This window comes from Homo sapiens, chromosome 3 (genome assembly GCF_000001405.40).
Source record: "Homo sapiens chromosome 3, GRCh38.p14 Primary Assembly".
NCBI lineage: Eukaryota > Metazoa > Chordata > Mammalia > Primates > Hominidae > Homo > Homo sapiens.
Window position 1 is genome coordinate 151,761,358 of NC_000003.12, and position 25,725 is coordinate 151,787,082.

The following is a 25,725-nucleotide window of genomic DNA, read 5'->3' on the forward strand; positions in this document are numbered from 1 at the left end:
TCCTTCTGTGCATTTCTCTCTGGGGAACAGGATACCAGCAAAAACTGAGCTGCTAGCTGAATACAGCATAGGTCATATCAGAGCCTGCCGTGAGCTCAGAAGTACCCTCATGGATCATATCAATGGTAGAACATAACCCTCTTCTCCTGTCATGTTTGAGCCTATTGTACACTCACCATCTACGAAGAAAATCACTTGCCTTGAGACACAGCAGCTCCTTTTAAATCTAGTTCCGATTAATGCAGAAAATTGTTCCATTTGGATTATGTGAATCCATTTGGATTATGTGTAATTTTTTCACATAGCTCTCTAGAGTCTTTTCAAACAGTCTCTCACTGATAGAACTTACCAGAATAATTTTTCCTAGCATGGGCCTTGGTGAGACATTAATGACACTAATGACACCATGGACAGTTCACAGAAGTCTACTCCAAGCCTCACTGTGGACAGAAATATCTGCATTTGTAGGAAGATTATCTGGGTACACCTTTGTTTGACTCCAACCCCAGCAGGAGTTCCTCTCTCCTTTTTATTTATTTTTTTAAATCACATTTGTTGTATTTACAGAAGTAACACAGCAGAAGCATATCCAAGATTACACACATCAAATAGATGGCTAGGCCCACCGTGCAATAGGTAAAATTTCTCATGACACTTTAAGGCCAATGCAAAATTTATACATATATATGTATATATCTGTGTGTGAGACAGCATGTGTGTAAAGAAGCATTTAAAACATATGCAAATCACGAAATCCATTTCAATCTGTTATCAGAAACGACATCCGTAACCTAGGTTTTGTGTGGCAGTGGCGGGGCGCTGGACTGCCATCTACCATGCCAGCTCCTCCTCCTCTGCCACTGTTCATGGCTCCCCAAACAACTGGGGGAATGGGGTCAGCCTCACCTAGGCCTTCGTGGGGTCCACATGCTACTCCCCTGGCTGCGATGGACCACCCTACTGGCTCCCATGGGGTCCTCAGTGAGCTAGAGGCTGGGCAGCAGCCTTTGCAGCTGTGTGCAGCTGCCCACTTTTTCAGCCTGCTTATAATTATAATAAAGAAATACATATATAAAAATAAGTATAATGTAAATTTCGCATACCTTCGAGCCTGTTAATGAATGTGGAGAATTCAAGTTCACTGCCATGTGATATACTTTCAGCTTTGATGTGAACTCAAAGAGAAGACTGCTTTCAATTGTAGGCCTATGATCTTTGCTTGATTATTTTACTTCATCTCCAACCAAATTCTTTTCACTAATTTTTGTGCAGCTTGCACCGAATAAGGCAATCTTCAGTCTCAGTACTGAGCTACTGCAGTGGTTCAAAAAGATCTGTGTCCTCCATGTGTACTGTTTTCCCTATCAGTTGTCACAGGCAGTGATGTGCATGACAGGGTGAATTGTATAGGATTTTATATTCCATCAGTTTGGTGTATATATATATTTGGATATATATGTATATAAATGTCTGTTAGAATGAATGTGATAATGGACAAAAATAAATGTCTATTAGAGTGTTTCCCTAAAATTAAAATATGGCTTATACTTTTCCACTTAAATAAAATGAAAGGTAAGTAAATAAAAAGCTGATAATTTTTGAAGATGAATAAGACAAATAACACCACACACCCGTCCCCAGACTCAGAGAGAGAATTAAAAAAAAATATTGGGAATGAAAAAGAAGACAGAAGGTATGGAAATAATTGTGTGACTGCCATGTGCTATTGGGGGCACATATATAAAACCTAGAGGGCGTGGGTGAGATATAAATAGGGGGAAAAAATGACACTCCCTATAGTATAGTTTGAAGTCAGGTAACTTGATACCTCTAGCTTTGTTCCTTTTGCCTAGGATTGCCTTGGCTATTCAGACTCTTTTTTGGTTTCAAATGAATTTTAAAATTGTTTTTTCTACTTCTGCAGAGAATGTTATTGGTAGTTTGATAGGAATAGCATTCAATCTATACAATGCTTTAGGCAGTAGGGCCATTTTAATGATATTGATTCTTCCTATCCTTGAGCATGGGCTGTTTTTCCATTTGTTTGTGTCATCTCTGATTTCTTTGAGCAGTGTTTTGTAACTCCCATTGTAGAGATCTTTCACCTCCCTTGTTAGCTGTGTTCCAAGGTATTTTATTCTTTTTGTGGCAATTGTGAATGGGATTGTATTCCTGATTTGGCTCTTAGCTTTGCTGTTGTTGGTGTATAGGAATGCTAGTGATTTTTGTACATTGATTCTGTATCCTATAACTTTGCTGAAGTTGTTTATCAACTGAAGGAGCTTTGGGCCAAGATTATGGGGTTTTCTAGATATAGAATTATGTCATCTGCAAACAGGAATAATTTGACTTCCTCTCTTCCTATTTGTATGCCCTTTATTTCTTTCTCTTGCCTGATTGCTCTGGCCAGGACTTCCAATACTCTGCTGAATAGGTAGTGAGAGAGGGCATCCTTTTCTTCTGCCAGTTTTCAAGGGGAATGCTTCCAGCTTTTGCCCTTTCAGTATGGTGTTGAGTGTGGGTTTGTCACAGATGGCTCAAACGGCATGGTACTGGTACAAAAACAGACACACAGACCAATGAAACAGAATAGAGAGCCCAGAAATAAGGTTTCACACTTGTGACCAACTGATCTTCAACAAAGCTGACAGAAACAAGCAATGGGGAAATGACTCCCTATTTAATAAAATGGTGCTGAAATAACTGGCTAACCATATCCAGAAGATTGAAACTGAACCCCTTTCTTACACCATATATAAACATCAGGTCAAGATTGATTAAAGACTTAAATGTTAAACCCAAAACTATAAAAACCCTTGAAGACAACCTAGTCAATACCATTCTGGACATAGGAACAGGCAAAAATTTCACGATGAAGATGCCAACAGCAAACGTGACAAAAGCAAAAATTGACAAATGGCATCTAATTAAACTTAAGAGTTTCTGCACAGCAAAAGAAACTATCAACAGAGTAAACAGACAATCTACAGAATGAGAGAAAATATTTGCAAACTATGCATCTGACAAAGGTCTAATATCCAGCATCTATAAGAAACTTAAATTTACAAGAGGAAAACAAATAACCCCATTAAAAAGTGGGCAAAGGATATGAACAGATACCACTTTTCAAAAGAAGACATACATGTGGCCAAAAAGCATATAAAAAAAGCTTAATATCACTGATCATTAGAGAAATGCAAATCAAAACCACAATGAAATATCATCTCATGCCAGTAAGAATGGCTATTATTAAGAAGTCAAAAAAAAAAAAATAACAGATGCTGGTGAGGTTGCAGAAAAAAGGGAATGCTTCTACATTGTTGGGAGTATACATTAGTTCAACCATTGTGGAAATCAGTGTGGAGATTCCTTAACGAGCTAAAAACAGAACTATTATTTGACCCAGCAATCCCATAACTGGGTATACACCCAGAGGAATATAAACCATTCTACCATAAAGACATATGCATGTGAATGTTCATTGCAGCACTATTCACAATAGCAAAGTCATGGAATCAACCTAAATGTCCACCAGTGACAGAATGGATACAGAAAATGTGGTACATATATACCATGGAATACTATGCAGCCATAAAAAAGAATGAGATCATGTCTTTTGTGGGAACATGGATAGAGCTGGAGGCCATTATACTCAGCTAATTAATGCAGAAACAGAAAACCAAATGCTGTGTGTACTCACTTATAAGTGAGAGCTAAATGATGAGAACTCATGGACACAAAGAAGGAAATAACAGACACTGGAGCCTACTTAAGGGTGGAGGGTGGAAGTAGAGAGAGAAGCAGAAAAATAACAATTGAGTACTAGGCTTAGTACCTGACTGATGAAATAATCTGTACAACAGACCCTTGTGACATGAGTTTAGCTATGTAACAAACCTGCACATGTACCCTTGAACCTAAAATAAAAGTTAAAAAAAAAAAACAAGTAATTACTGGAAAAAAAATCACCATAGCTGCAAAAAAAAAAAACGACCTTCCCTTAATTTATAAAGCTGAGAAAAATTGGAAAATTAATTAGTAATAATCACTGGAGAAGGCATCAGCAACAGATGGATTCATAGTAATATGAGTTTTATCACAATAGCATGAGTTATTTAAAACTGATTAATTCTACTGTAATTGAAATTATTCCAAGTGACAGAAAAACAATAAAAACATTCCAATTCTTTTTAGGAAGCAATCCAGCAATGTATCAAAAGAAAATACAATTTGAGCAGGCAGGCATGCCATAGTGACTCAGTACCAGAATATATATCAATATAGTTTATTACATCAAAAAATTTATAGATTTAGCAGAGCACAAACAAAAAAAAAAAAAGAAAAGGAATTAATGGAGAAGAACCATATGAATGAACCAATTAAGGAAAAGGCATGATAAAATTAATAGCTGGTCCTAATGTATGTAAATCTGAGGAAACATGAATAGATTCCTTAACATGATGAAGGTGAAATGACCAAGCACAATGGAAAGGGTTATCATAAATAATGAATCACAAAACAATTTCCTGTTGAAATTGTAAATAGGAAGTGATGACTATTATCACTCATATCTCTTGAATTCATACTATTTCCAATTCAAATGAGTTTATCAACCTTTTTATCTTATATCTATATCTTCTTTTCTTCACACTAAGATTCCTGCTTCTCATATACACTGGAGACAACAGAATTGTATTGTTTTTTCACCTGCTTTATCACACATTACACAGAAGACATTTTTAGAATTACATACCAATACATCCAGCAGTGTGAGTATTGAAAACAGTTTAAAATGTTTTGCATGCGTTCTCTCCATTTGCTCCCCATTTTGTAAAAATAAACTTTTTATTTTGAAATAATATTTAGATTTTCAGAAAAATTGCACAGATGGTATAGAGAATTTCTGTATTACTTTCACCCATTTCCCCTATTGTTAACATATTGCATAACCATAATACATTTGCCAAAAATAAGAAACCAACATTAGTATATTACTGTTAACTAAACTCCAGACTTTTTCAAAAATTTCAATATTTTTTCCAGTCATGGCCTTGTTCAATTCTAGAATTTAATCTAGGATGACCCATTGTTTCTATTTGTCACATCTGTTTAGACTTCTCTGGTCTATGACAATTTCTCAGTGTTTGCTTATTTTTCATGACTTCATAGTTTTGAGGAGTACTCATCAGGTATTTTGTGAAATGTCCCTCAATTTGTATTTGTCTTATGTTTTCTCATAATCAGTCTGGATCATGGGTTTGAACGGAAGACCCCACAGGAGCAATGACCTTTTCATATCACATCAGGGAAAACAATGCTATCACCATGACTCATAGCTGATGATATTAACCTTATTCATTTGGCCAAGGCAGTTTTTCCCAGGAGTCTCTACTATAAAATTACTTTTTCCTCCATCTTTCCGTATTCCTTAGAAGCAACTCATTAAGTTCAGCCCACACTCAAGGAGCAGGGAAAATTGAACTTTATCTCCTATAGGGTAAGAGCTACATAAATTATTAGGAATTCTTCCGTAAGGAAGACTTGTCTCTTCTCTTTCATTTGTTTATTTATTCAATTATTTATTTATATCAATGTGTCGAGATGTATTTATATATAAAATTTCCTTTTGGTCTAAAAATTGCTATATAATATCTGAAGACAATCAGATTTTTCTTTCTTCTATTATATAAGTTATTCGGTTTTTTTTTTTATGTGCAAGGGATTTTTTTTTTTTTTTAAAGACAGAGTCTCGCTCTGTCCTAGGGTGGAGCGCAGTGGCACGATCTCGGCTCACTGCAACCTCCGCCTCCCGGGTTCAAATGATTCTCCTGTCTCAGCCTTCTAAGTAGCTGGGATTACAGGCGTGTGCCACCACACTTGGCTAATTTTTATATTTTTAGTAGAGACAGGGCTTCACCATGTTGGCCCGGTTGGTCTCCAACTCCTGACCTCGTGATTCATTGGCTTCAGCCCCCGAAAGTGTTGGGATTACAGGTGTGAGCCACTGAGCCTGGCCTGTGCAAGGGATTTTTTAAGTCTAATAATCTTACTATTAATAGAATATGTCAGTATTGGCTACTATGCTTTAAATTTTTTCCCAGTTATGTTGTTTACCTCATTAATACGCAGTTTCAAATCTTAATTTTTTTAAGATTTCAGGAATATCTTGAAATATAGTTTTTAATAATTGTTCCATTCCCTTGCTTTGGTTTTTCTTTCATGTAAAATATCATTCTATCTATGTTGGATGTTCTTTCCCTGTCTTCATCATTTGCTGTTTTTTTAAAAGTCATTCTAATTTTGATCCTAATTTCTTTTTGCATTCACTTACATGTTTATATACTATAAAGTTCACCATATTTGGTATACAATCCTGTGTGTCTTGAAGAATGTATACCATCATGTAAATTTCACCATAACTGAGGCACAGAAAAGCTTCATAGCTTGAAAACGTTTTCTCCTATTTCTCCCTTGTAGTCAAACCCTTTTTTTGCCCTCAGCCCCACAGAAACTACTGATCCATTTTTTCTGTAAATTTACCTTTTTCCGGATTTCATAAAAATGAATCATAGAGCATGTAGCCGTTAACTTCCTTTTATTTGAAACTTCTATCTCATTTTCACGCTGTATTTCCCCTATGACATTTTCTGTATTCCTTGTAGCTTTATATAATTTTTATTCTCCTTTGTGCCCATTTTGGTCTAGTCTTTATTTTTGAAATGGTGTTGTTTGTTTGTTCTTTCATTTGTTCAGGGGGTTATTTATTGTGTTATTGACTAATTTCTGAGTTTTCATAATTCTGGTTTATGATGTTCTTTCACATGGCAGGTTATTGTGTTAATGACTTTGGCTAATTTTAAAACATTAGGATATAGTTTTCCTCTGCTTTGTGGGCTTTAATTGTCTATAAAGAGGTTATTTTGCTTATTATTTTGCTATTATAATAACTCTGAATGATATTTAACCTCAGTTATTTCTGAGGCTCATTTTCACAGGAAATTCATTAGCTTAGAAGTTAGTTCCTTAGAAAGGAACCATGATTTTGTATATTTTCTATTAATAACTTCCTCTTCTGTTGTTCTTATGAAATATTCCATTTTATTCCCACAATTTAATCCACTTCTTTCCCCATTTCCTGCTTAATTTAGATTCTTAGTTTCTTCTCAGTGTGGGGTTCTTCCCTGGAAGAACCTTTGGTTGATTAGTGTTGAGGGACAGTAGGGCCCAGCCTGTTCCAACCCCTTCAGGTCACACTGCAGATAGCTTACACAGCATAAGACTATGCAAACCCCAGCCAGTTTCAACTGTTTTCTCAGATTTGTAACCACAATTTCAGGTGAATATTTGTTGGTTAATTCTTATTCTGTCAAATACTTCATCGCTTTCCTCTGCTTCCACCTGCACATAGGGAAGATTATACCACACAGGCCTTGTAGTTGTTGGTAAATTATTTCCAACATAGATACTTGGAAGTTGGTTTGTTGTTATATTTTTGCCTCATATTTTTCTTCATATTATGTTGTCCATAGGTTTTTGGTTTTGTTTTATTTCTCTGTGAGTTCTTCTAAGGAGATTTGGGGATTTTCAAAAGCTGAGAACCTGTGTAGAAGATTTTAACTCATTTTTTCAGTAACCGATAGAAAAACACAAAAATTAAGTAAAAAAAAAAAAGTTTCAATAACACAGTTAATACTACTGACTTAATTTACACAAATTGAACCCATACCAAATAATGTCATAATACACATTCTTTTAAAGTAAAGTACACATTAAACTTTTTTTTTTTTAATTCTTGGCCATAAAGCAATTATCCTCAAATTTAAAAAGATAGAAATGCAGAGGTTAATAACAACTTCAGACTTAGGTTGGGAGTTACAGCATTGGTTCTCAGGCCTCAGACTCAGGCTGAATTACATTATCGGCTTTCCTGGTTCTCCAGCTTGAAGATGACAGATAGTGGAACTACTACACCTCTCCAATCACAAGAGCCAATTTCCACAATATGTTTCCTGTTTTATACATACATATATCTGCATCTACATTCAGTCGTACACCCATAGCAATGTTTTGGTCAGTGAAAGACTGCACATATTGATGGTGGTCTCAAAGGATTGTAATATTGTATTTTTATTATACAGTTTCTAGGTTTAGATGTTGATATGGTTTGGCTCTGTGTCCCCACTGAAATCTCATATTAAAGGAGGGTCCTGGTGGGAAGTGATTGTATCATGAGGCAGACTTACCCCATGCTGTTCTTGTGATAGAGTTCTCATGAGATCTTGTTGTCTGAAAGTGTGTAGCACCTCTCCCTTCACTTGCTCTCTCTCCTGCTCCACCATGTGAAGTTGTGCCGGTTTCCCCTTCCACCATGATTGTAAGTTTTAAAATATTCTGTTTGGGCCAGGTGCGGTGGCTCACACCTGTAATCCCAGGAGTTTTAGAGGCCTAGGCGCATGGATCACCTGAGGTCAGGAGTTCGAGACCAGCCTGGCCAACATGGTGAAACCCCATCTCTATTAGAAATACAAAAATTAGCCAGGCGTGGTGGTGTGCACCTGTAATCTCAGCTACTTGAGAGGCTGAGGCAGGAGAATTGCTTGAACCCTTGAGGCGGAGGTAGCAGTGAGTGGAGATCGTGCCACTGCACTCCAGCCTGGGCGACAGAGTGAGATTCTCATCTCAAAAAAACAAAACAAAACATAACAACAACGAAAAAATTCTGTTTGTTCTTCCTTACTCGAAGGTTTGTTATTTGAGACATACACTGCGTTTCTTGCACTGTCACATGGCCTTTTTAAAAATAAGGTATTCAGCTCTTAGTAATTGTGCATTAAATGTTTGTTTACTAACTGCCTAGCAACGTAATAAGGCTGTTGGATTTGACAGAACTTGCAGAAAATAAGTGCTGATTGTTTCTCAGAGCTCGCCTTTGTATTTCTGCTAAGTATATTTATTTAGGGTCTGCCCATGAAATGAAAACTGAACAGTGGAATTTGTACTCAGGAAGTTATGTAACACTTTATGGCAGGGCTTAAAACAATGAAAATTCAGCCACTGCATGTTTCAAACAAGTATTTGCTGTGTTGCCAAAGTAGAAAGAGCAGAAGGGAAACATCATGGGAAGAAAGACTATTTTGTTTCTGATTGCAGGGGTCCTTGGGGCATATTATGTTTATACTCCTCTCTCAGATAATATTGAGGAACTCTGGTGACTGGTGTGGATAGCTACACCTGTGAAAATGGTAACAAATTTGGTAAGTTCAGAATTTCATTGTCTCTGTGAATATTTAAGTTTAATCAGGAGAAAATAATTACCAGCTATATTATTTTTAAAACTTTCTGCTGTCTTGGAAATTTTGCTCTTAAAGTTTGCTTGACGATTTTCAAACCTTAAAAAAAAAAACAAACTTCATTCTTTAACACAAATCCCTAACAGAATAAGTATGAAGGAAGTATTCAAGTAATTTTAATTTTAAATATTAGAAAACAAAATATGCTGGCTGAGAAAAACAATCTTACTGTGATTTTCATGGCATGAATACTGACAGAATGAAGCATTTATGAAGTATAAACTTCAGAAAAGGTAGAATTGAGCAGCACTGTGATTAGTTATAGAAAATTCTACACAACAATCTTGGATTCAGGCATGAAAATGCATTCTCACTGAAATATTCTGTCAAAAGGTCAACTGGTAAAAGGTCAAGGGAAATTGAACACACGGCATGATTCTCAGTTGAAGGAGAGTGAGCCGCTGAGGCGACAGGGCAGCTCCCTGGCTGGCTGCCCCCAGTGTCCACACTGGCCCTCGGAGACCTGTGGTTTTTTTCTAGTGAGGCTAACTACTTGGATATGAAGCCATTCATGATTTCCTGGAAACTTCTCTGTAGCAAACTGCCTTCTTGTAGCAAAAGAAAAAGATAATTCAAGGACACTTAGCCTGGATATTTAACACTTGGCTCACACTCTGTTTCCTTGCATATATTTTTTAGGTGTTTCAACATTCTCTACTGGCATTTAATGCAGCTCTGAATAAGTGTGATACATGCCTTATTCTCAAGGTTTTTGTTTGTTTGTTTTTCTATTTTTATGTTTTTTTTAGAGACAGAGTCTTGCTCTATTGCCCAGGCTGGAGTGCAGTGGTCCAATCTCAGCTCATTGCAACCTCTGTCTCCTGGGTTCAAGTGATTCTCCTGCCTCAGCCTCCCAAGTAGCTGGGATTACAGGCATGCGCCACCGCACCCAGTGCATTTTTCTATTTTTAGTAGAGACGGAGTTTCGCCATGTTGGCCATGCTGGTCTCGAACCCCCCGACCTCAGGTGACCCGCCCACCTCGACCTCCCAAAGTGCTGGGATTACAGGCATGAGCCACCACGCCCAGCCCTCTTTGTGGTTTTTTGTTTGTTTGTTTGTTTTAAAGACGGGTTCTTGATCTCTCTGTTGCCCAGGATGGAGTGCAGTGGTGATCATAGCTTCTTGCAGCCTGGAACTCCTGGGCTCAAGTGATCCTCCCACTACTTGGCCTCCTGAGCAGTTAGGGCTATAGGCACATGCCACCATGCTTAGTTATTTTTTTAAACATTTTTTGTAGAGATGGGGTCTTGTTCTGTTTCCCAGGCTGGTTTTAAACTCCTGGCCTCAAGCAATCCCCCAAACCTTTGCCTCCAACACGCTGGGACTAGAGGCATCAGCCACTACATTCAGCCCCACATTTTCATTTTCTATTAGTTACTTAATTTTCTAGTCATTTTATTAGCATATAGAGTTGGTCCTCTGTATATACGGGTTTTGCATACCACATATATTATATTTTTCATCCTCAAGTTTAATTTTTAAAAATCTGTGTGTAAGTAGACTCACTCAGTTCAAACTTGCTAAATGGTCCAGTGTATGTTGTTACTGGACTTGGGTCAGTTTCACTGGAATATAGCTTCAAGTCTTATTTTTAAAAAGTTATTCTGGAATTATTTATAAAAATATTTATTTTGGGTCATTGTTTTGCTTTATTATTTGTATTTATTATGTGTATATATATATATTTATACGCTAAAATAATGTCATTTCTCTTGAAAGTGCTTAGTCTCTTTTTACATTTCACTTCCTTGTGTTTGCTTTTTCGTTTCTATCTTATATAATACCTTGAGTTTCTTTACCTTGGTTTTATTTCTGAAGTTATTTGTCTTTTTTGCCTTATTCCTTTTCTGAGTTCTACCAAGGAGTTCTGGGAACTGCTATTTCCTGACTTCCTCTTCAGGAATAGGGTGGGGACAATTTAGTATTGAAAATAGACAATTTTGTTATTTCTTTTGTACTTATTTAATTTGCATTAATAGGAAAGAGGTTCAGCTAGTTGTTTGATCACCCAGCCCTTTAATCCACATGTTTCCAACTTAAGATAGGAAAGCAAGTTTTTCTCATCCTTGGAATCCCAACATTATAGGTCCATTAGGATTTGGCTCATATTCACCTCCGGAGGTCCCTTTTCTTTCATGGATCCTTGTACAGACATCTTTATTGCTTTACCAAACTACATGCATTTCTCTGATTACAATAGAAGTGTCCTTGTGGCGATTGCTTTGGCCTAGCATGAGATTTTCCCCTTTGGCCAAACTCTACTCCCCTTTCAGTACTCATATCAGAGCTCACCCACTCCTTTTCACTTCTCATCCAGGCAGCTAGTTGGCCCACTGACCACTGCCAAAGTTCTTTGTACATATCTATGAGATATGCAGTGATGTTGTTTTGTAATTGCTAATACATCTATTTTTCCTTCTTGAATCTGAGCTTCTTTAGAAAAGAGAACTTGTCTTACTTATCTTTGTAATTCAAACTGTCTAGCATGGAATCCATCAAGTTGTAATTCCTCAGTAATTCTTTACTTTTTTTTTTAACCTAAGGCAACTATGTGGCAACACCACTAAACCTCCAGTATTTCCAGTTGTGCCATTCAGATTCACCTGTGAGACTACCAGACAGGACCATTGGGAATACCTATGCATAGTTCTGTGTTCATAAGCAACGCTGGCATTTGATATTTGTAAACTAGTACTTTTTTTTCCTATATCTCCTTTTAGGCTTTGTTAGTTGAACTCTTGGGAATCAATCATTTCATGAATACTGCAACGTTCTTTGTGAGCTTTCAAGAAGTCCCACCTACATCTGATGAAAATGTCACCATGATAGAGACAACTTTCAGTAACATTCCTGTCCGTGTATACATGCCAACACTAAAGTCAGAGATACTAAGAACGGGCTTAGTTTATATTCATGGTGGTGGTTGGTGTATGGGGGATGCTGGTATGTGTTCCATATTAAAAGTTTTAGTTTATCATATAACATACATTTTACTGAAATGTTGACTCCATCATATCAAGACAAACATGTTAGATAACAAAACACTTCAGCTGTCCAAAATTTATTTCTTTGGAGCTATGTAGATTTAAAAGAACTATTTTAAATCTCATTCTGAAAGAGGGCATAATAAATACCAAAAGCTGTAGCAAATCTCAGGTAAGAAGAGAATGTGTTTCACGCACTTAGACATTTATTATTAATTGCAGATTTGATAGAAAGTTGCAGTAGAAAACAATGAGGTGAGTTGAACAGTGGATTAAATATGAGGAAATAGAAATGGTAACTATAGTCTTCTCATAAGCTTAAATATTAAGGAAATGAGAAAGAAGGCGCTAGATTTAAAAAATAGAGTTGAATAGGGGTATTTTATTTTGATTTCATATTATATCATATATATTTTGTTTAATGCACTCATGTATTTATATAAATATTTATATTTTATATATAATTTTATTTGCTATAGAATCTAAAATTATTTTATTTGTATATAAATATATTTTATATTATATGTTTTCTATTATACATATTTTATAATTATGTATGGGAGGTCTATGAACATGATTATAAGCTGAAGTTAAGATGGTGGTAAATTGAGGTACATTGGAGAAACGCAGGGAGTGGTAGGTAGAAGAAGGGATGGGGGTTTATCTGACCTAGAGAATGTGGAAGCAAATTGGATTCAATGCAGATGGGAAGAATTGGCAAAACACAGGAGAAGGGACATATCTTCATTTGTGACAGAAGAAAAATAGGTGCTGATGGGTATTGATGTAGATTGGGAATGTAAATTGGAGCAGTAAATGGAGTGATTCTATCATTTTCTCTAAATTCAGATAGTAAAGTCATCATTTAACAATGCAGTGATGTTTCTAACACAAAACCTGAGTATGACATACCAGTTTCCATGAGTCTCTTCTGCCCAAAGCATTTCTTTGAAAACTTTTACATCAAAGTATCTGTGAAGAATGAAAATATGTTTACTAAAGTAAAGGAATTAAATAAGAATAAACCTAGAAAAAAATAACATTTGTCTGATACTTTCTATTTCAATATTAAAGAAAACATAAAAATATGTATTCCAATCAAAAATATGAGCATGACTTTTTATAGTAAAGGTTAAATAAGAACTTAAGACTTAGTGTGTATTTGACATGTCAATAATACTCGGCACCTAGTTTTGGAAACATCACAAGATAATAATATCTACTCCTCTTTCCATGGCCCCCAAGAGATAGGTTTTGTAAGAACCTCATATCCTGTTACTTCTCCTTCACTACTGTATGATTTCTCCTGACACTTGTTACTACCAAATTCTATTTATCTTTTAACAATTTTCTTATCTGCAAAAGGAAGCATTTGCCCAAGCCCCATAGCAAACAAGTGTGACCCATCCCCAATCCATACACATACCAAAACAAAACAAACAACAAAACAGAAGAAAACACATTCTTTCTTGTCTGCCAAGAAAATATGAATACCTAATTCAAGTCTTAGCTCTCTCTACTTCCTGTTTACTCTTCTCTATCTTTCTCTGGGAGTTTCTGTGAAGTCTAATTTGATTTCCAAAGAGCATTTTCTGTACTCCATTAAAGAAACTATTATTTTGCATTATTGCTTTTGGTTTGTATGCCTGTCCTCCCTACCCCTGTCTCCAGTAGACTGTGACTTCCTTAAAGTTGGAGTTAATATATATGTGTTTGTACTTTCAAGACCTAAGACCTGTTAAATGAAGGAGACAGAGATTAATCTTGAGGAGAGAAAATTGGCTTAAATGATCCAGTGTAAAAATGTACGAATGGATGAAAAAGCTGACAATGCACATGTAAAAGGAACACTGGGAAGAATTCATGTTCTATAATTAAGATAAAATATTAGAAATATTTTCTCTAGAGTATATCAGTGAGGAACAAGGTGTACTAGTAGGTTTTCTCTTGAAAAAAAACACTCATCAATTCATTTGGCTGCCTTTTTTTTTTTAATTTCAGCTTTGTTTAATTATGACTTTCTGTCAAGATGAACAGCTGATAGACTTAATGCTGTTGTTGTATCAACCAAGTAAGAGCACTCATGGTTTGTTTGGGTTTTGGCCAGATGCTTTATATAGGAAAATGCTCTCAGCTTTTTTGGTCTTTCTTTGGTTATGCCAAGAAATTGAGAAAGTGAGCACAGAGAAAATGAGGTTGAGCGTTACAGGAACAGACACGGGAAATAACAAATCAGATCAAACAGGAATCAGAAACAGGAAGTTTAGAAATAATTAGAATACAATTAAACTATTGGATCTTATGGACAAATTACTTCTGCTGGATTTCCAGCCTAGTTTTCACTAGCAGAGTTAATAAGAATGAGGGCTTTGAAATCAGAGAATCAGGTTCAAATCTGGGTTCTAAAATTGATTCTGCGACTTTGTACAAGTTGAATGTGATCTCTTTAGCTTAGTTTCCTCATCTTTAAACTGGGAATCATATAATATTTTCTACATAATAGGGTTGTTTTGAGGATTAGATGATAAAGCAAAGGTACTACAAGGTATGTCAGAGTAAAATCCTTCACTAAAAGCAATTAGCCACCAAATTGCACATGGGAACACAAGCAAAATCTATTCTCAAAAAGCATGCTAGATCAATAATTACTGGAAAATGCACCCAATAAAAATGAGTAGAAAAATGAAGAACCCATATGAAAAAACACAGTAGTGACCATATGCCATCTGAACATTAGATTAAAGTAGAATCTAACAGTTCTGAAAATTTGCTTACCATTTATTGGTTACCACCAAAGTGTAATGATCACAGAAAAAAAACATTCTGGAAGAAATTTATCTAGGGAAACGTAACACCTGCTTGTGTTTGTTTTTTCCTTAAACCTAATCCAAGTTTTGTATTAATGAATTTACTTGTGTAAATGACCTTTGTAAAAGTTTTCATATAGGGCATCATCATAAGGATGAAACCTGTTTTTGGATTTCTGATGACCCAAAGTATCAGGTTTGCTAAAGCAAAAATTACTTTTGATTTTAGGGTTAGAGTGAGCAGAAAATCATATACTTTTTAATTAAAAATAGTTGACTTAAAAATTGTTATTCTGCCCACAGCTACAGAATAGCACCTAAATATCATTTTCCAGATCAATTTGAAGATGTATATAATGCACTAAGATGGTTGTTATGCCAAGATATTCTTGAAAAATATCGTAGAGAGCCTAAAAGAATTGGCATTTCTGGAGACACTGCTGGTGGAAATTTAGCTGCAGCAGTGACCCAACTGGTATGATGCTCGGATTTGTTTTATTTCTTAAATATCCTATGCTTAAATATATTTATTTCAGATAAAATTTTTAGAAAAAAATGTTAGCAGATTCATAGATACCATATACTTGCAGAAGGAATTATACTTTTCATATATTATTCACACTATTTATATGATATTTAGCTAAAATTGCACACCTATGAGTTGTCAATTTAAAGTATTCCATAATTATAACTAGCCTACTATATTATGGATAAAATTGTTTTTGTTACTGTTTTTTTTTTTGACATAATAAACCAGGCAGTGATGTCTTAGAAGCAATGTTTCTATAGGGAAAAATAATTACATAAACTTTGCAAATTAATGTCTATAGTTTAATAACTGATTCTGCACTTGAATAACTGACTTTGATAATAAATGTCACATCTAAATTTACTGTGCAAAAAATATTGTTTTTGCTGCTTTTATTATTTATTTTATATACTTTGGAAATGTATAAATTTTGGTTATTGGTACATTCACGATAACCTTTTTCTGATTTCTAGCCAAAGGAAAAATACAAATTTTGTGATTCATTCTAATATACTATAGAAGAGATACATGCAACTTCCCCAAAATTGAACCCTATATTGCCTACACATTGTTGCTCCGAGAGGCCCCCTAGTGCAGTACAATTAATCCGTCAGGAGACACAGATTATTGGAGCTGAAGCAATGTCCAGCTGTGACCTTAGACAAGCCACCTAATCTCTTCAAACATCAATTTCTTTTTATTATATTACATAATAAGTCTTTCCTCTTACAGAGTTTAGACTTCTGAAATGATGAACCAGTTAATTCTGACCCATAATTATTAAAAATCTAGCTAAAATATCTTGTAAAGGGCTAATAAGATATAGAAAACTTCTAGGCCAAAAATTTTAAAAGACTAAAAAAGAGAAAACTTCACAAAAAATAATTCTAGCACTCAACATCCTCTCTGCCCTAAAGGCATATGGTAGTCAAAAGGAAACAATTAAACCAAGGTGAGCTTTGGGAGTTTCTCACGGTTATACATTCAAATCCTTGCAGATATGAGTACACCCATAAATCACTCCTCCCTTTAAGTGATGCTCTGTAGAAATACACTCTCAGAGTCAAAGTGAACCTGATGTAAAACAAAACGCACTTCCATTTAAAGCCTTGCTGCACATCATCCAGATGGCTAGAGGAACCTCAAGCTTTGAATTTAAATTAAATTAAGGTAGTATGAGTGGTAACTACTACTGTGTGATTGACTGAAATACATAAAAGGCATTGCTGGAGAAATACAGTACCATCATAGTCTTTAAATTATTCTTGCAAATACCTTGTGAAATTGAATGCCCCAAACACTATAAAATATACTTGGGCAAACAAGTAAGCAAGAAACAATGAAGGAAAGCAAGTTGAATCAGCAGACAATAGAAATGCTCTACAAAATTTAGATATTAGAGCTATCAGCCATACAACATGAAAAAACTGTCCTACTTTGTTCAATGAATTCAAAATGAGGGTTACGAATTTCAGCAGAAAATTTGAGGTTTTTTTAAAAAAATTCTAAAACAAAGTAATAACCTTATAAAAATTAAAACCTTAAAAATGGCATAAGTAATTTTACACAGCTGAAGAGATCATTTGTAAATTGATAGATGGGAAAGATGGGTCATATCAACTCAGGTAACAGGCAAAATGAAGCTTGAAGAGCCAAAAAGATAAATAACACAAAAAAGAAGATTAAAGATATAGTAGATACAGTCTGAAAATCCAATAGTGCTTTAAATGTTATACCAAAAAGAGAGGTAAGAGAATGGGAGAAAGAGATACTGAAAAATATAACAGTAGGCTGGGTGCGGTGGCTCACGCCTGTAATCCCAGCACTTTGGGAGGCCAAGGTGGGTGGATCACCTGAGGTCAGGAGTTCAAGACCTGCCTGACCAACATGGTGAAACCATGTCTCTACGAAAAATACAAAAAAATAGCTGGGCGTGGTGGTGGGCGCCTGTAATCTCAGCTACTTGGGAGGCTGAGGCAGAAGACTCTCTTAAACTCGGGAGGCAGAGGTTGCAGTGAGCCAAGATCATGCCACTGCACTCCAACCTGGGTGACAAGAGCAAAACTCCATCTCAAAAAAACCAAAAATTTATATATACATATAGTACCTTTACAGAAGTACCAGTTATACTAAAAGCTTACTTCTCAACAGCAACAATGTAAGCTCTAGGACAGTGGAACGATAATATTAATGTACAGAACAAAAATGACGGCCAACCTAATTTTATGCCTCAGAAAGATATTATTTAAGAATAAAGGAGAAACAGAGACATATTTAGATAAATGAGAATGAAGACAGTTTGCTGTCCTTAATAGGACAAATTGAAAGATACTTTAAGTAAAGCATTTTAGACAAAATGAAAACACAGATAAAAGGTTAAGATGTAGGAAGAAGCAAAAGGCAAGAATGTGATAAGATGTAGAGAAACCTTAATAAGCTTGGATAGTTTAAAATAACATATATAACATTAAAATATAAGAAAAAAAGGAGCTATAAGAGAAGTGGGAAGGACTTTAAGTGTTATAAACTCTTTTTATTACCCTAAAGGAGATAGAAAGTTAGAATTGGCATTTGATATGTTCATTACCCTTTGAGAAGTTAATAAATAACACATTGTAACACTGAGGACAACAATTTAAAGTATAGAAACTGTATAATTTCTAAACTGTTAGAGGAAAAAATACAATAATTGAAAGGTTAATACGAAAGTAGGCAAAAATAGAAAAAAAAGGATAATAAAATGAGGTAGTAGGTTGAAACCAAACACTTTAATAATTAGATTAAATATAACTGACCTAAATGATCTGGTTGTAAAACCAAGTTTGTCAGAGTAGCTGAATAAACAGTTTCTGATCATATGTAGTTTATAAATGGCACATTAAAGACATAAGCAGAAAATTAGAAAGTAAATGGGTGGAAAATACATACCATAAAAACACATTTAAAGATATTGCTAGGTTAAAAAAGAAGGTTACATCATTACAGAAAAAGTTTAAATTACCAAGAAAATACAACACCCTAAATCTGCGTGGATTTAATAATATGGCCTTAAAATAAATGAAGAAAATATTAACAGAAGTGCAGGGAAAAATACACAAGTCCACAATGATAGCGAGAAATTTAAGGATACCTCCTTCAAAAATTAAAATAAGAAGCAGACAACAATAATAGTAAGCTGAAAGACTGCTGGAATAACAACACATTTCGTGTAATGGATGTATAAAGAACAGAGGAACAAGCAAGCACACAAGGATTTTTTTTTTTAAATGGATGATGTACTGGGCTATGATGCTTTTATTATCTTTTAAACACCTTTTAAATGTTCTCCACATTTAGAGCAATATTTATAGGAATTTGTATATCCTTAAAAGCATATATTAGAAAATAAGAAAGGCTAAAATTATGTATCTGACTCAATAATTCTTTTTAAAAAAGAACAGACGTCCCTAAAAATACAAAGGAGATAATAATAGTGATAATATCAGAAATTATGATATTCCTAACAAGCTTCAGTAGTATGAATGAAAAGTAAAAACTTAATACTTTGAAAAGATGAATAAAATTGTAAAATCTCTAGAAAGACAAGCAGAGAGAAACAGATTAATGACAGAATTGAAAAAGGGGTAAGATTGTATGTAGATCCTTCAGAAATAAAAAAGAATTAGCCTTTAATAAGTTAATAATGCACACTGTAAGTCTTAAAAGAGATATTTTGAAAAACTTTTCAATTAAAACAAAATGGAAAAATATGTAAATAATCAAATTCCAAGAAAAATATAACTCACCAGATAGACACGAGAAATAAAAATCTGAGTCATTTAATAACTACTAAAATAATTAAATCAGTACAGGTTGAATATCCCTAATTTGAAAATTCAAAATTCAAAATGCTCCAGAATGTAAAATGTTATGAGCACCAATATGACACTCAAAGAAAATGCTAACTAGAGCATTTTGGATATTAATTTTTTGGATTGGGGATGCTGAACTAGTAGGTATGATACAAATATTCCAAAATAAAATTAAAAAAAAAAAACAGAAATCTGAAACATTTTTGTCCCACGCATTTTGAATAAGAGATACTCAAAATACAGTACCAGTAGAAAACCTCATTGGTAATACACGTTAAACATTCAAAGATGAAATAATTCCAAATAAACATGAAGTATGCCAGAGGATAGGAAAACTGTGTATATTCTCTGATTTATTTTCAGAGAAGCATATTTTTTATAACCAATCAAGCAAGAGCAGATTGTTGTCAGGAAACAAGAGCAAATTAATTTCAGGAATAAAACAATGAACCAATAACACGCATAAAACTAAGATATTAGCAACATGAACAAAATATACCATTATCAAGTTGCTAATAATGGAAGGAAACTGTATTTTATAAAAATCAGTTAATTTCCCTCATATTAGTAAATTACAGAAGCAAAATGATATAGCATCTCACTAGATGCAGAAAAAGAATTTGGGAAAAGTCACAATAATTGTTATCATTATTGGTTAACTAGGAATAGATAGAATTTCCTTAACCAGATAACCTACGTGGATTAAAAATGCGCACAGGTGGTATAATTCTAAAGAAACTTGCAATGTTAAATACCATAAAATAAAGAGTGATGATTTCTGGGAGGGAAGAAAGGTAAATGATCAATTCAGGGCATATGGTGAACTCCCTGAACCTTACAAATATTTGTTCTATTTTGCATTTCTGTTTTATGAAGCTATGTGCTTTCTTTTCTTTTCTTTTTTTTTTTTTTGACGGAGTCTCGCTCTGTCGCCAAGCTGGAGTGCTGTGGTGCCATCTCGGCTCACTGCAACCTCCGCCTCCCGGGTTCAAGCAATTCTCCTGCCTCAGCCTCACAAGTAGCTGGGACTACAGGCGTGCGCCACTATGCCCAGCTAACTTTTGTATTTTTAGTGGAGACGGGGTTTCACCATGTTGGCCAGGATGGTCTCGATCTCTTGACCTCGTGATCCGCCTGCCTTGGCCTGCCAAAGTACTGGGATTACAGGCGTGAGCCACCGTGCCCAGCCTATGTGCTTGATTTTCTATGTTTATTTTATTTAATAATAAAGGATTAATAAAATAACTGCACATTCAAAGATTTAGTTACCTGTAAAATTGAATTTATTGGTAAAACATAAAATATTTTTGTGTTTTTCCTTATCTAAAATCAGCCACCTATTAGCTACCTACTTAATTATTTACCACACCTCTACTAATGTAAACAGCATCTTTCATACTAGATATTGAGCTAAATGGAATGTGTGTGGCAATCTTACTTCAGCTATAACACTAAACTGATTATTTAAATTCAGAAATTATTTTTACATAAAAAATATTCTAATGGACTTATAAATATTTTATTTTGCTAAGTGGTTCCCGTTATTAACTTTGTTTTAAATGTAATAAAATAAAATTTGCTGCTATTTGGTTTTACTGCTGTATGTGCATATTTTATTTTATTTTTTATTTTTAGAAAGTGTTATATTTATGTTAAAGGAAGAATGTCAGCATGCTGTACTTTCTTCAACACTATATAGAAAATGCTGTTGCGAGTTTTCAGAAATAGACTTCCAATTTACCCATTAAACTTCGGTCTGAGAAGCACCCAAATGCATGTAGCTTCAATAATCACTATTTATGACCTATACCAGTGGATCCCAAATTTTAACTTGCATCAGAATCACCTGAAGTCCTTCTTAAAACTCAAATTGCTGGTCTCTACTCCCCTAATTTAGTACCCCATTAACAAGAAACATTTAGCACACCCTGAAAATATGCATGTTGATTTATAGATAATATTTCTCTTAACACCACTATAATTTGAATATTTAAAACATGAAAATTAAAATGAATTAGATTTTTATAGCAGGAATGAGAATCCTAATATGTTCTTGCTCAACTTTAATAAATATTTTTGTATTTATGGCTCCCAATCTCCCACAAAACACCTGAGAGAGTTATTTTCTAATTAGGATACCACTGCCCTATAGAAATTAAAAAAGATAATTATACAGATGATTGCAGCATGAAGAGAAAGAACACACTTGGAATACTCCCATTTAGAAAACAAATCAATCTGACCCACCTGTTTCACAGAGGGACTATAGGACTTACTCAGAACTAATTCGTTCAGTGTTAAAGCCAAATTAGAATTCTTAGTTATTTGATCCTTTTCTTTTTCTTTTTTTTTTTTTTTGTTTTTTGTTTTTTGTTTTTTGTTTTTGAGACGGAGTCTTGCTTTGTCACCCAGGCTGGAGTGCAGTTGGCCAGGCTGGAGTGCAGTGGCACAATCTCGGCTCACTGCAACCTCTGCCTCCCAGGTCCAAGCGATTCTCCTGCCTCAGCCTCCCCAGTAGCTGGGATTACAGGCGTGTGCCACCATGCTGGCTAATTTTTCTATTTTTAGTAGAGACGGGGTTTTACCATGTTGGCCAAGGCTGGTATCGAGCTCCTGACCTCAGGTGATCCACCCACCTTGGCCTCCCAAAGTGCTGGGATTACAGGCATGAGCCACCGTGTCCAGACTGAGATTTTGCTTTTTAATCACAGATTAGATGGTCTCTTTCCCCACCAATGAAAAAAATAGCACAAATCATTTTGCTTATATTAATAGTATTAAATTATAGATTCCTATAATATTGAAAATGGGAAAGTTCCTGAGATACATTTTTGTTGTTTCTGATTATCTTGTTGAGAATCTTAATTAATGGCACATCAATATATTGTTTTTAAATAAAAATGTTTTCAAATGAAAATTATTCAAGAAACTTATTTTTAATTGTTTTTCAGCTCATAGAAGACCCAGATGTCAAGATCAAACTCAAGCTTCAGTCTTTAATATATCCTGCCCTTCAGACGCTTGACATGGATTTACTATCACATCAGAAAAAACTAGACTCTCTAGTTCTGTCCAAACCATTCATGGTCAGGTTCTGTAGGGAATACTTTACCACAGACAGATCACTTGAAAAAGTCATGTTCTTCAACATGTACCAATGGAATCAAACCATCTGTTCAGATTTGTTAATTGGAGTTCCTTGCTCACTGAGAAGTTTAAGAAAGGCCACTTTTGTTATATTCCAACTCGTGGTAGTTCTGAGCTAGCTAAAAAATATCCAGGGTTCCTAGATGTGAGGGCAGCCCCTTTGTTGGCCAATGACAAGTTACATGGTTTACCCCTGTCCTATATCATCACCTGTCAATATGACATCTTAAGAGATGATGGACTCATGTACATCACGCGACTTTAGAACTCTGGAGTTCAAGTGACACATAACCACAGTGAAGATGGATTCCATGGAGCACTTTCCTATAATGGGCTTAAAATTGAGTATGGAATAGAAAATCAGTATATGAGTTGGCTAAGTGAAAATCTATAGTAAAAATGTAAGCAATGGTTTATTTAAAATGTATAAGGCTCAGAACAGGAAACAAATTAGTGAAAATCAAAGGGTTGATGTTTGAATTGGTCTTTATCATCTGTGACCTTTCTAAGGTCCTCATAGCCATAGTGGGTTTTGGTTTTGTTTTTATTTATTGGCCGCTAGCAAATTCTTCTCCATTTTATTTATTATCCTGTTATTCACTCACTTCTGTGAAGATACTTTAGTATTTTCTTCTGCTACCATTACTCACTTGTTAAATCTCTAGTTTACAGCTATAGTTTTTTGATTGCCGAATAGTATTACAGATGAGAAGAAAGTTTTAAACAAACACGTCTGATTTGTAAAATGCCAGTTTTAGTCAACATGAATTTAGAGACTTAAAATGTTTCCCTGTGAGAACTGATATGAAATATGTGCCATCTCTTTTAAAAAGCATTTGCCTCAATATAATGCTGTTTGCCTGTCACTGTAAAATTTGCTTCTTAATACAGATCTCTTCCAGTACTAGGATACCAACATTAATGCAAATGATCTTTCAGTTACTTTAGGGAAAGGCAGCTCTAATTGTGTGAGAAATTAGGGAGGTTGAGGTAGGCACGAAGCCAGCATAAGGCAGTAGCTCCACATGTGGCAGTGGCTTATAGTCGTGAGCGAAGCTTAAGACACGGAAGAAATTATACAACCAAATTGAAACACTTAAATCTCTGAAACTTCTTATGTCCATATAGGCACCGTATGGGGGAAAGACCACAAAGAATAAGCCATAGTGATCATATGGTATGTAAGGTTTGATCGTTTTGGAGCTGCATTGAGGAAGGCAGCTGAGGGCCAGCATAGAATTTCCTCACAGCCACTGGAAACCAAGCTTTCTTTATTTTCCTGCTCAGCTGTTGACAGGCAGGAAGCACTGGTGGGGACAGTGGGGCAAATCACACACTTCCATTTTTGTCTATTATATCAGGAAAAACAATAGCATTCCTGGAAGCCCCACTCAATACATATACATATACATATACATATACATATACATATACATATACATATACATATACATATACATATACATATACATATACATTTTTATATGTCATTCTACAGAATTATATCTCATGTGATCAGCCTTAGCTGTTAAGGTTGCCTGAGGAGTCATTTTTTTTAATCTGAGCACATCATTCTGAGTAAAACTAATATTCAGTAAAATCATGTAAGTAGTAGATAGGCAGTAAGAAGTAGGCCACAAATTCTTTAGGGTAAGTGATTAAAATTATGTGTGAATAATATATAGAAATATCTGGGGTCATATAATGCATGGAATGGATGTATAAATGAATTACACCTACAGCTCCCAATGGAGCATCACAGTAATATTTGTGTACTCAATTAGTTGAAGAAGGCATTTGTCTGTTTTTTTTTTTTTAATTTGGATCTCTATGCCCTATTCCTTTACCTCCCTCAAACCAGGTGCCCATAAATCAAAATAATCTATGTTCCCTGGTGGGAACATAGTCTTAATTTGGGTTAGGAAGATACATTTAAATATAGACATAAGTTATGATACAAAAAACCTTATTAAAGCAACATAAACAATAATGATGAAATGAATTGGTATTAGTTATACCATGTTTTCCCAAGACTCCTGCCAAAACGAAGACGCAGTAGAGTGAGGGAATGATAGCAACAGCAACATAACATTCTTTAATTATTTACCTGCAGATTCATTTTCTGGTACAAATATCCATCTTGGTGCCTATCTTTGGTTTCCTCAAAGTAAAATAGGATAAATAATTGAGTGTCCCCTACCTTACCAACTGGCTTTTTGTATTCTAAGTCACCAGGCCTGGCTCTTACTAATTGCTTTTATCCCTCTCTACATCTATCATCACTCCCAAGTCACCCTCATCTCCCAAACCCTAATACCTGTAAAGTCATTCCCTGTACCTTATTCTGTCTTTTCCATAGTCCCTCCCCAATTCCTATAAATTTCACTGAGCTGTCTGGGACTCATGATTCATTTATGAGTGACACCCTCAAGCTTTTGTCAGTGTTTTCCATCAGTTTTCAACTGAGATTCAGTACTTAATTTAGGATCATGCTTCTTCTATTTTTTTCTTCCACATTATTCATATTACAGGATTTTAATGTGCAGTAGATGTCTTCCTTGCTCATTGCTGCTCCCAGACTGTTACCTCTCCTACAGCCTTCTGAATTATTGTAGCAGGCTAGATCACCAATCTCCCTTCCATTTTGTAGTCATCTGCTTACCTCTGAGTCACTGGTACTCCTGTCTCAAGCATTTTAGATTTAAGCTCATTGTCACTCTAATACCCAAATCCATTATTGTTGTCATTCCAATATCCACAATGTAATATCTCCAATATTACAATTGAGGATTTCAAAATCTGTACAGATAATACAGCCAGCAACATGGACTCTGATTTTTATGACTTGTTCTTTTCCAATCATCTGTCCTCTATTCCTTTATTCTGCACAAATCATTTGTCCTTATAATCATGCCTTAGACCTTGTTACTAACAAAAACTATACCTCTCTAAAATCTCAGCATTAAATAGACTACTGTCGGATTATAACCTGCTGTATTTGTAGGCCACTGCCACTAATACTTCAATAGCCACAATGCTTGAGAATTTTACCAGG

General features: G+C 35.0%; 1 long non-coding RNA gene and 1 pseudogene across 3 annotated transcripts in view; one reads left to right on the top strand and one right to left on the bottom strand.

Annotated features, from left to right (window-relative positions):
- The window catches only part of AADACL2-AS1 (AADACL2 antisense RNA 1), a 176,997-nt gene that overhangs the window by 10,179 nt on the left and 141,093 nt on the right, over nt 1–25,725 (bottom strand). For both annotated transcript variants that reach the window (NR_110203.1, NR_110202.1), the window contains exon 2: nt 13,249–13,308. This is a non-coding gene — a long non-coding RNA (AADACL2 antisense RNA 1). The remainder of the gene's footprint in view (nt 1–13,248; nt 13,309–25,725) is intronic.
- Nucleotides 9,099–23,537, top strand: AADACP1 (arylacetamide deacetylase pseudogene 1; annotated as a pseudogene). Its single transcript, NR_026915.1, has 3 exons — nt 9,099–9,254; nt 14,338–14,407; nt 22,475–23,537. The product of NR_026915.1 is annotated as an arylacetamide deacetylase pseudogene 1 (transcript).